The sequence below is a fragment of the Homo sapiens genome, chromosome 2 (assembly GCF_000001405.40).
Source record: "Homo sapiens chromosome 2, GRCh38.p14 Primary Assembly".
Lineage (NCBI taxonomy): Eukaryota > Metazoa > Chordata > Mammalia > Primates > Hominidae > Homo > Homo sapiens.
The window spans coordinates 36457149-36469185 of record NC_000002.12 but is presented as its reverse complement, the minus strand read 5'-3'; the positions used below and the strand labels follow the sequence as shown (position 1 = coordinate 36469185).

Sequence of the window (12037 nt, the reverse complement as noted above, 5' to 3'; positions counted from 1 at the left end):
GGCACCACTGGGAAGAGGGTACTCTTCCTCTTTTGTGCTGATGACTTGTTTAGAGCTGTGAATGGGGGCTAGCCTCAATATATATCTGGCCCTGCTAACTATGCTGTCAGAACAAATGGTTCAGTATTAAATACCGTAAGGCTAAAAATATTTCTGGTAGTTTCAACTGGCTTCTATCCAATAACAATACTATAGACTAATTCATTTACTCACTTGGGGAACGTTTTATAAGTAGGTCATACAGACAGAGTCAGCTTTTGGCTACGACTTTCCAACCAAGATATTCCATTTTATCTAGATGTTTGTGTATATACGTTGGACAAATGCTCGTATCTAAGAAACCAAATAATCACTTGCACACTCTACACCTAGGATTTCAAACCCAAATGCCTCCAGGAACGAGAGGTGGGCCATGTGTAAGACAGCAGGGGGTACTGTGTTAAGTGGAGAGCATCCACCCATCTAACAGTAGAGGCCATTGTCCAGCTCCAGCTGACGGCTGATGGGACATTTGTTTGTGGGCAGGAGCAGACATACAGTGGGTTCTTGACGAAGGTGGAGGGCTGTTACAACACTGCTTTGGAGGTCATATTTCTAGGTGATGATTTTGATGACTTCTAAGTTCACATAAAAGAAACATAATCATACCACCTGTTCCTTTGGTTTCTAAATAACAAGGATCTTGTTCAGCCAAAGCCTCATAAGTTCTCCTTTCGGCGCTTGTCAGAGAATGCAGTTACAAACTGTCATGAACTGGTCTGCAACTCTCCCATCCCTCCGCCACAACAAAATAAAATCAAACTACAAAAACAAAGTAATATTTATGGAGGATGCTCTCTCTGCATCTACTCATCAGGCTAGTGTTTTCAAAACTCACGAGTTTTCGAGTTCTGTGTATTTTAAAATTGTATGTTTTCACTTTAAAGTTGATTTTAAAAAGAAAAAAACATAAGCATATGGATCACATGGATGGCAGCATAGGAAGTGAGTGCGGCAGTGCATAATCCATTTCTGCATGTGGGGTCAGTCATGTTAACATTCTACCCACAGTCTTCTGAACTGGGGTCTTTGGATCTACCTCACCATGGTTGGGCAGTTTGCAAAATTGAGAAACAATGTTCCAAGCACCTACGGTCTAGCTGTGTCAATCTGACCTTTTGGAACTGAGTTGTATTTTAATATTTTGCCTTTGCTTTTTATTGAGAACAATCCCAGGAAACCAGTTTCTGCATTTGTGGTGTTAACGCAATTAAGCACATGATCAACTTCATCATTCAGTGGGATGAAATCCATTCCTTTCCATATGAAAAATCTCTATTAGAGAGACAGTTGTCCCATCCAGCAGGTTTTTTCCTCTTTGAAAATAAGAACAGCGTATTTGACCCTATCTCCTTTTTCACTTTGATGGCCAGAAAACTGGGGGCCTAATTTAACATTTAACTCCCACAACTGCATAGGCACTGATGGACTGTATACCCGTGGGTGCTTTCTGTTTGATTTTTCACTTTCAACTTTTACTTACAATTCTATGGCTGTGAGTCTCCTTTCTCATAAATATTTTATCACTATCTTATAGAATCTGTTCTCACTGTAAAGTTTCCTCAGATCCTCTGTGTATAAGCGAGTGGTTTTATACATATAAAATAGACCTCTGCTTTTCTAAGTGATGATAATGAATCTTTGATATGTAGTATCTTCTAATGGTGACCTTACAACAACAGATTTTTCCAGGACACTAGGTGGTAAGTATATTTATATATACATACACAGACACATTCATCTATCAATATATATGTGTGTGTATGAGTATGAATGTATATATCAAAAGAAGAAAAATGCAGGCTTTGAGACAATGTTCTTAACAATATTCTGTAGGATTATGAATCTTCACAGTATTAGTTCCTAGTCTCCTCTACAGGTGAATGACTGATATATCAATAGACACAGTTCCACAGGATTAGGAAGAAAGCAAAGATCACTCAACAAGTTTATGGTGGCAAGAAAGAAGCAACGACCAGAGATGTAGTGACTGTGTTTTGTCCACTCAACATCTTCTCAGGACAGATGGCAAATCCTATTCCAGAAGTCAGGGCTCTATAATAAGTGGCAATAAATGAGGACAGGCCCTGCAGACTGATCCCAAGGTTGCTAAGGTGGAGGTACGGCTATTAGTAGTTTGAGACACATCAGACTGGAGCAAGACATAAAGTCTATGTTCTGATAAGAAAGGAATGACCCATGGGTATCTAGAACCAAGAAGCAAGGAGAGAAGAAGGGCACTCCGGTTCCTCACCCATAGGAAACACCAGCAAATCTTTCTACTAGAGATGATATTTTCAGGGGACAAATGACTTAAGATTAAAGTGTAGGGCAGTAAATAGATGGAGGATTCCTACAAAGTAACCCATTTATGGGCTGACATTTAACAGACACCTCTAGAGGGAACTAAGATGATACGAATTAGATCATTCACTGGCTCATGCAACAAAATCTGGGTGTCCTCTGTGAGGCAGATAATAGGCTAACAACTACAGACACAAGGATGAATGTGACAGACTCCTGTCCTCCAGCAGTTCACATTTTGGAGTGAGAGACAGGCATGAGCGTTAAGTCTTTTCCAAGTGATGAGCACTGGATGAAGCATATCTGAGATGCTGGGAACCCAGGGAAGCAGTGACTATTTCTGTCTCCAGTGGTACAAGTATTCACAGAATCTCACCTATCATAAATCAAACTGTAGCACCTCCAGAAAAAAGGTCTGCTTGGCCATTTGCTTGTGTTTAATGGATGTGATTACTGGCTAAATAATGACCAGAGTGGGGAGAAGCACCGAGAGGTGATTTAAGTGCACAGAACTTTTTCTGTTCCCCTTTCCTGTATGCTTGTATTTATAAGGTCTGTAAGTCAGGAAGTTCAACCTTACCATCTCTATCCCCCATCCCCAATGTCCAGAACTGTGCCTCTGGATGTGAATAGAAAGTGTGCACACAGAAGATTATTGGCCGGAAGCAGTGGCTCACACGTGTAATCCCAGTACCTTGGGAGGCCGAGGCGGGTGGATCACGAGGGCAGGAGATCAAGACCATCCTGGTTAACACAGTGAAACCCTGTCTCTACTAAAAATACAAAAAAATTAGCCGCGTGTGGTGGCGGGCGCCTGTAGTCCCAGCTACTTGGGAGGCTGAGGTAGGAGAATGGCGTGAACCTGGGAGGCAGAGCTTGCAGTGAGCCGAGATTGCGCCACTGCACTCCAGCCTGGGCGACAGGGCGAGACTCTGTCTCAAAAAAAAAAAAAAGAATACTAAAGATTATTTACATCTGAGGCAAAATTCAAGGTAGTTCACCTATAATACCTTGTTTAATTTACTGTTATTCAGTCCATTTTAGAGATGTAGAAACTGAGGCCCAGGGAAACCAAGAAGCTTCCTCAAAGTTAACTCAGCTAGTGAGTGGAGGACCCAATTTTCAAACTGAGGTTATTAATTCTAGTCTGTGTTCTTTCTTAACCATAAAGCCATACTGCAAGTGTTTCTTCAAAGCAAAAATAAACAATAAAAAACAACTTGGCCACGGGCCTAAAAATCACAGGATGCAACCAAATAGGACTCAACTGCAACATAACCTTTCTTGCCTTGGGAGGGCAGGAGACCTTATGACATCTGAATTCCTACAGGAAGTATTTGATATGAATATTTCTATGTGTAATTTTGTTGTATTTGTCCAAATCCATCTCCATCTTCCTGTGTATACAAGTATTGACTAAATAATGCTCTGAATGGTTATTGACATGTAACTTGTTTATTTTATTTTTTGTTAATGAATATTCTGGTAGAGAAGCATGTTGCAGGTTCCCCTTCCTTCTAGCACCTAAACTCAATCAACATCAAGCCACCAAACACCAAATCCTCCCATATAAAGTGAAAGGGAGAGGCAGATTCTGTCAGAAGGAATCTCGTGACCCAAGAATCCTTTTTCAGGGCCACGTGGGTCAAGCCTACAGCAGGCCGCTATCAGTGACCAACCACTGATTAAAGATGTCTTCCCCACCGCCTCTCAGCCTTTTGGCTAAGATCAGGTGCAAAGATGTTCTAAGTAGGAAAATGCTAAACAAGATGAGCCATGTTTTTCTTGTTCCCAAGTGTGGCAGGCCCAATGCAGTTTTAGCCAGGTCACCTCCCGACAGCCATGGGACCAGTTACTGAGTGACAGCAGGAAAACTCTCACAGGCTCCAGGATCCTTTTCCTGAAATCCCTAAGTTTTGGAAATTCTGTAACACAGCTGAGTATGACAGCTACATGCAATCTGCTATTACATTTCCAGAATCCTCCTTCTGATGGGTGGAATGATAGTTCCTAACCTAACTTTCTTTACTGCACTGTGGATCTTAAGCAAACCTTTTTGAGTGCCCTTCAGCAAGCCCCTGAAGGTAATCCCTGCTTTGTAAAAGGCAGAAGCAGCTAAGTTGAACCCTCCCTCCTCCTCCTCTGCACAAATGTACACTCTCTGAGAACAAGAGAAACCCCACGTACCATTAACACATTCAAAGACATCACAGCACTTTCCAGGTGTCCCATCGCCACGAGAGACTATGCGGGGAGTGGATCCCACCTCACACACGGGGAAACCACATAAGCCAGAGAGACACTCGCATCTGAAACCAAAGAAAAGGGAAGGAAAACCCCATGAATAAACAACAACATAGAAGTCGGGAGACCACAAACAAAGTGGCAGTGGCTGTGGCAAAGTACCTGGTCTATACGACACTGCCTCCTTTATCTGGTGTCACTGGGAAATGGGAAGGCAGGAGGGGTTCTACCATAATTTGCTTTCAAATAACTAAGGCTTGTCTCCTTTATGTACACCCCAATTTTTAACTTTAACCATTTTGACAGAAATATTTCTAAAATGCATTACCTCATTTCTTACTTAACCAGACTGGTATTGAGCGTAACAAACATTTTCTGGCTGACTCAGGGACATCTTCATATGTATCTGTTATGCTCTTCTGTGAATCGATGCTTGCACAGGCTAATACAGAGTGAGTGTTCCCGTGCTAAATGGCCTCATGTTGCTCCTTTGCTGCAACTGATGTTTAGGGTTTTTCAGAGATTTTCTGACTCCTGGTTCAATGATTAAGTTATTAGCTTTTTAGTATTTTCTTGTCAGTGTGATTGTCTTAAGTCCACTCTCATCTTGAGCAATATTTAATTTATGACTGTGCACAATAAAAGAAACGGACTGAAGACTGAGGAGCTCTTTATAAAGAGAGGGCCTAAGCTGTAGTAAGTGAACTTTATGACAGCTATCTTGGAAGCTGAAAGTCTTAATTTTTTGGATCTTAAGCTCCCACCTGAGCATCGATCTCTCTGCACGCATGAATGGGGGTGTTCCATGAGCTGCAAGCTGGCTGTGCTGGCTCTCACCCCTAACTTCGATGCTGCTGCAAAAATTGCTAAACGCAGAAGCCTGGCAAATACGGGCAGGTGAAATAAGAGGAGACAAAATGTTGCATCTGCTACAATGAAAGAGAGGCAGGACACAGGAAACTTAGGGCAGCTGGGTGTCAGCATGTGAATGTAAGATGAGGAAAGAGCCGCTAGATTTCTGCCCTGGGACTCCCCTGGGGAGAGATGTATGGGTCAGAGGGTGGAGAAGATGACGGCGGGAGTTCCCAGGTTGACAGGAGTAAAAGGAAGACATCCTAAAAAAAGACATCCTGGCAGGAAGTATGTGGGTATTTACATACGGTAGAGGTCAAGATCAGGAAAGGTAATGTTCCCAGCAGGGAAAACTATCAATACATTCATTAATTGTGCTTTTGTCCCCCCTTCTTATTTAAGTAATTGGTTTGTTCACTTATTGTTCTTTGGATCTTTAATAAATTAAAATATGCTTATAGTCCACAAGTACTTCAATAATGAGGCCCAGAGATTTAATTACATTTATAGTTAACCATGGAACTAGAAAAGAAATTACTTTAGGTTATGATTTGCATCAAGGACTATTAAAGCCACTGGAAAGGTGGCTTTAAACACCCCACTATCACCCCAAGGTAGGCTCCTTGAGGATTCTTCCATGTGGGGTGGCAGTTCTATTGGATTCCTGGGAGAAGAGGGTGTTAGGTCATTCAGGTTTTGCTGCAATTGTATTTCTACCAGTGGTTTCAAGTAAAGGTTTGCCTGTTTTGTGTGAGTAGAGCTTGGAGCTCTCAATTCATACGCTATATTCCTGCAGGACAATCATTTTCTAGCGCTGAGTAAATGTGAGCTGGGCTTTTAGTGCCTGATAAGGTCATCCCATACTTTGTCACGCTTATATCCCTAGCCATTGCAGTGGTAAGCACATAATCATACTGCTGTGATATAACAGTAACATTATATTGTTTACATTTATTGTACTTGGCACTCTGTACAACTTAAAACTCTCTGGAGTTTATAGATAAATGGGGCTAGAATACTGACAGGCCACACCCTGGCCCCAATGTGTAGATGTGATTACAATGAAAGCATCCCGCAAGAATAGCTGATTAACCTTCTCTTACAAATCTTCTATGATTCCACATTCTTGCCTACACACGTGCTCCAGGGAATCATTCTACTCTAAACACCTGAGAGTGTACAGTCAACCAAAAAATACCTCTTCAGATGTTGTCCTTCAACACTTGAACAACCTTTACTGAACACGTGCACTTACGTGCTGGGTTCTCTGCTATGCTGTTAGGAGTCACACCACACTGAACACCATGACTAAGTCTGCCATGAAGTCTTTTTTCCCCTTTTATGTTTGACCTATTTTCCCAACATTTGTTTAAAAAATTTACAATTTAAAAAATACATTTAGGGAGTACAAGTGCAAGTTTCTTATAGACATATATTGCATAGAGGTGAAGTGTGAGCTTTTAGTGTACCTGTCACCCAAAGAGTAAACATTATATGCATTACGTCTTCCTAACATTTAAATATTCCTATTTTTTTTTTAAAGTCCCTTACAAGTTGTCTCCAGCAGGCTACAGAAGAGCTGAAGTTGCACCCAACCACCTATTAACCCACCTAGGAAAGGAAAATGTTTTATGCTGAATCTTTACAACTAAACTGACTGCATAATAAAGATCCTGGTTTTGCTAGCTGGTGTGACCCCAGCTCCTGTCTCCTTGTTTCCTTCCCTGCAAAGCCTTCTGATCTACCTGTTGCCATCTTTTGACTTTTCACAGCTTCCCCTGAACGTGAAATTAGCATCTTAATCAAGAAAGAGCTGATGAAAGAACCACAAAAGGTAAAAATCTGGGCTTAGGTCAGATATCTATTGGGTAGCTATCTATTAGGTTAAAACCTTACTGAAACTGCCAGTTTTGCAGTTCGAAATGGTCAAATAGCAATTCCTTATTTTCAACATAATACAACTCACATGAGTTATCTTTTAACAGGTATGTTTACATTCACTCTGTCAGGTAACAAAAGGGGACCCCATCATGACCCATATTTGCCCAGGAAGTCTGTTATATCTACAAATGATATGAGTCCCATGTAGTTTTAAAAAATTCTTCAGTAAGATTATTCTAGATTCTCTGGTTAACACACACTGCAGGAGGTATTCTTCCCTTTCACCGATGGGAACAGGAGTTACACAGCTTAGTCAAGTGACCTGATTTTAAATAGGGTTTCCTGTTCTCTGTGTTTTCCACTAGAAGAGACTAGATTTTCCTCTACTGAGTCATGAACAGGAAATGCTGAACTACAGAAGAACTGACGCATGCAACCTGTACCGTCCTCACCACATTCTTTCTCTTCATTTTAATTCTTTTTGTCCTCCCTAATCTTTCCCTCCCTTTATCCCCATCTCTGGATAAGGAGCAAGCAAAGGAAAGGAGAACACAAAAGGGGCAGAGCAAACAGCATTTCATGAGAAAAGCTGCAGTGAGCTGATTTCAACACTTACCCCTCATTTCTGAAGCCCTCTCCCCAATTTCCAGTTCTAGTCCAATCTCCCCCTGCCCACGTCTCTGTCTCTCCCAAACCATGCTACACCCATCCTAAGGCTCAGTTCCCAAACTTCTGCAGTCAAAATTTATCTTCCATTACTCCTCATTTTATGTATCACTTTCTCAGCCTAGCATTCAACACTCTGAAGTCCATATAACCCTTTCTCAATTCTGTTTCCCAGTATTTCCCTTCATTTTCCATTGCTACGGTCATGCTCTTTTCTCCAAATAAGTCCGCACTTTGCTGTCTCTGCACTGCCTGCCCTAATGGCCTCTGCACATTCCTCATCCAGCCCTTATGCCCAGTTGTCTTTCTAGGCCAACCTCGGATAACAGCTTCTTCTCTGAACCCCCAAACACCACACTTTTCTTACAGCACCCTCTTTCTCTATTTTGTGGTAACTTGAGGACTCACCTTAACATAAGCTCTTCTAGTACCTATCATGTCTAGTCATATAAATGTTTCTTAAGTGGAAGTGAACTGCAGAGGAACAAGACAGGAATAACAGTAACACAACAAAACAAAAACACAAAAGAAAGTGAGGAGAGCACTGAGATTTCTCTACTGTGAATTCATAAAGGCCACCCCAGGCAGAGCTATTTGCATGACCTTGAGCAGAAGTGCTAAGGTTTTAAAAAATGAAACAAAACAGCTTTATTGAGATATAATTCACTTACGATAAGTATTCACCCTTTTAAAGTACACAATTCAGTGGTTTTATACTCACAAGGTTGTATAACCATCACTAGTACCTAATTTCAGAACATTTTCATCATCTCAAAAAGAAATCCTGTACTCACTAGCAGTCACTCCCTTTCCCCTGATCTCCGGCCCTTAGCAACCACTAATTTATGTTCTGTCTCTATGGACTTGCCAATTCTGGATAGTTCATATAAATGGAATCATACAATATGTGGGCTAAGGGCTTTTTAACTTCAAAGAAGATGCAACCTGTATTTGCAAGTAACCAGAAAAATAAAGCCTCTAATGTAATCCTTAGAGTTAATATAATGATCAATCGAGGTACCACATTAATAAATTTTTGCATAATGTAACCACAGCTGCAGCCAGGTGGGACTTGGTAAAGCTGTCTTTTTTTTTTCTCAAGTAGGTAATGGATTCAAGCTCAGTGGGCACCTGAGTGCCTGAGTACAATGGAACTCAGAAATCATGGAAACCCCTAGAGGGCACTCACCCCCTTAGGAGGTTCTGCTGACTGAAGGGCGGTGAGTACACATTTAAGCTTTCCCTTCATGTCCTTTGCTTCCTGGACTTCACAGACAATCCCAGGCAGGCCAGAAGGTCAGAGTCCGAGCTCCTGGGCATAGCTTGCAAGGTGCTCCTAAGTCTGCCTCTACCTGTTATTAGTTTCCATATTCTACTGGTTCCTGCACACACCCTACACTCCAGCAACAATGATGATCTGATGTCACTCAATCACCTGCCACCACCCCTTATCACTCCAGCCACAGCTCATGTCCACCCAGCCTCAAATCCCTGCCTCTCCCTTGCCCCTGGTGAATTCCCCACAACCTTAAGACCATCTACCCTGTAAGACCTTCTCTGGTCAAAAAACAAACAGGATTAATTTTCCCTCCTCTGACTTGCAACAGTACGTAACGGTAGTAACTCTTGAAGTGCATCGGCCCATCATACTAAATCAAAATCAGACTGTTTCTCCTGTGAATTCCTCTAGTGCAGGGGGCATGTCTTACTTGTCTTATAAATAATAGTAAAAAAATGATAAAGGTACCCAACCAATAATCTGAAATAAACTTTTTCATGGATACTAAGTCAGGGGTTAGACCATGTATTGTTTTATATTTTTTATTTTTATACATTTTAGACTGCAAGCTTCTAGGTACAGTGCTTTTCAAAATTAGTATGTGGAAGGAAAGACTATGGAATGTGTTTAAAATGCAGATGCCAGGGTACCCACTCAAACATTGTTTTTCTGCAGGTTTGGGGAGCGGCTCCAGAATCTGCCCATATAATAGGCTCTCCAGGAGAGTCTGCTGATGGGAATTTGCAATCCACTTTCCAAGAACTTTGTGCCTAGATGCGCAAAGCCTGGGTGGTCACAGTTTAATTTGTACTTTCCACTAAAAAAAAACAAAAAAGCAAAAAACAAGTACAACTAGTTTTAACATTATAATGAGAACAATGATTACTAGTACTTGTTTTAGATCACTTACAAAGACTCCTTCCTGCCTGAATACCATTGCTTAAAAGTGAGAGATACCACGAGGGAAGAAAAGAACAGAAATATTACCAATTTATCCAATACTGTCACCCAAAGAAGAAAAATGTGTGACTGCTAGCAAGCTACTTAAACTCTTGCAGACTGTTTTCTCATCCATAAAGTGAGACAGGTGGATCATAATAAACTCTTCTCTAAATATAAAATCCTTTGATTCTATCACTGCCATTCCCATTCCCGTCACTGCTGCAAACTGACCTCAGCTCATCCTCTTCTCACTCACCTGCACCCTGTCCTTCAGGAACATCAGTCACCTTGTGTCCCTTACTCCCCTGATCCTCCTCCTCTCCAAGCACCTCAACCTTCAGGCCCAGCTCAAGATAGGGCCTTTGCACTGGTGACGTTTTGTTTTTCGTGGGGGCATAATAATTATATAACTTTTTTTTCCCTACTAAAGAACTCTAAGCAAGGCCGGAAAAGAAACAACATGCTAGATGCTGTTGTCTCCCTACCACTAGGCATGTTTCAGACCCTACATAACTAAGCGCAAGGGTCAACAGTTTGTTTTACTACAATGACCAGAAAAACCTTAAAGGAAGATAACCTACAGGAGATTCCTGGAGGAGGCCACAGGGCTAGGAGTCCTGTTTGCCCCTCCCACAGCCCTTTCAGCAAAGAACAGGAATGCCCCTCAACCTCTGCCTCGCCCCGTCACCCCAGAGGTATCCTCCTGGTGTGGGTGCTGATGTTATCCTAACATTCCCCATAGTAGGCTCCTTCTGCAGAGGAGGCAGCTCGGAAGCAGCAAGCCATCATATTCCTCATCTTCCCCAGCAGACTCTGATCTTCCTCTGCCCGTATCCTAGAGGAAAACAAGTCAGTGAGGTCTTCTGGAAAAGATTTCTTTCAATACTGGATCTACTACACACCGGAAGTGAGTGCTTGAGGCCTTCAAAAGTGGAGACATGACCGCCTATAAATTAAAAACTACTTACAGGTGGGTGGGAGGTCGCCCTTTAGTCAGGAAACAAGGATAAATGAGGAGCAAAAAGGGCAAAGCCCTTGTGTTACTAGGATTCTACACAGTGTGTTAATGAAATAGCTTGTCGGGAATGGAAATTATAATGACATATAAAACACAGTGCTATTCTATAAAAAGTAGCTGCAACTTTAATTAAATTCGATGTACTATCTTTCTACTGATTAAATTTCTTACTCTTTCCAGGAATGTGTAAGTTTTTTTTTTTTTAAAGGCTGCAAATAAAATATCCAAAAAGAAACAGGTTTCCTATCTGAGGGTCCAACCCTTCTTATGGAAAACAGCACTCCTCCCTATGAAAGTTCCTTAGGCTCACAGTTTTCCTCGTGCCTCACCATAAGAGATTTACTACTATCTGTGTATGAATAACTAACCCTCCTTCACCCTTTCTCCCCTGTCTCAAGCTTATTCCTGCGTGATTTCCTGGCATTTACACCCCCTAACACTGACAGATGTGCTGTAGCCACAGCAAGTGCAGCCCTGCCCTGGGGATCACACTCTCCCCCCGCAGCCATCCCTCCCCTGTGTACAGTGAGCAGAAACTGTACCTTCTTCAACACTTTCCCTTTGAAGACCACCAGAAAAAATCACTCTGCCTTTCGTTGTTGTTGTTTTACGCTTTGTTTTTTTCTGGGGGGAGGAATCAAAGGACATGCTCACATGTAGGGAAGGTATAAGTTAAAGACAATTAGGTTTGGGTTCAGTGTATACTGTTCAGGTGATGGGTGCCCCAAAATCTCACAAATCACCGCTAAAGAACTTATGTAACCAAATACTACCTGTTTCCCAAAAACCTATGGAAATAAAAAATTTATAAA

At 41.7% G+C, this 12037-nt stretch overlaps 1 protein-coding gene across 14 annotated transcripts in view, besides 3 other annotated features; it reads right to left on the bottom strand.

The window, feature by feature from the left end:
• The window catches only part of CRIM1 (cysteine rich transmembrane BMP regulator 1), a 195358-nt gene that overhangs the window by 81950 nt on the left and 101371 nt on the right, over positions 1-12037 (bottom strand). For 13 of the 14 annotated variants that reach the window (XR_007076383.1, XM_011532898.4, XM_011532899.4 and 10 more), the window contains one exon: positions 4531-4652. The exons of the other annotated variant lie outside the window; for it this stretch is intronic. Coding sequence is in view for 12 of the 13 variants with exons in the window: in XM_011532898.4 (XP_011531200.1) it covers positions 4531-4652 (122 nt within the window). In the remaining variant the exon portion in view is untranslated. The remainder of the gene's footprint in view (positions 1-4530; positions 4653-12037) is intronic. 14 annotated transcript variants of the gene reach the window in all.
• Positions 7706-8000: a silencer, noted in NCBI's record as "tiled region #355; HepG2 Repressive non-DNase unmatched - State 14:Gen5'". NCBI's record gives its function as "represses a minimal TATA promoter and a strong SV40 promoter by Sharpr-MPRA in HepG2 cells {active_cell/tissue: HepG2}" and the evidence as "EXISTENCE:reporter gene assay evidence [ECO:0000049][PMID:27701403]".
• Positions 8126-8420: a silencer, noted in NCBI's record as "tiled region #272; K562 Repressive non-DNase unmatched - State 22:ReprW". NCBI's record gives its function as "represses a minimal TATA promoter and a strong SV40 promoter by Sharpr-MPRA in K562 cells {active_cell/tissue: K562}" and the evidence as "EXISTENCE:reporter gene assay evidence [ECO:0000049][PMID:27701403]".
• Positions 9909-10588: an enhancer, noted in NCBI's record as "NANOG-H3K27ac hESC enhancer chr2:36685741-36686420 (GRCh37/hg19 assembly coordinates)". NCBI's record gives its function as "activates a minimal SCP1, AML or CMV promoter by ChIP-STARR-seq in primed H9 embryonic stem cells {active_cell/tissue: H9 hESC(primed)}" and the evidence as "EXISTENCE:reporter gene assay evidence [ECO:0000049][PMID:30033119]".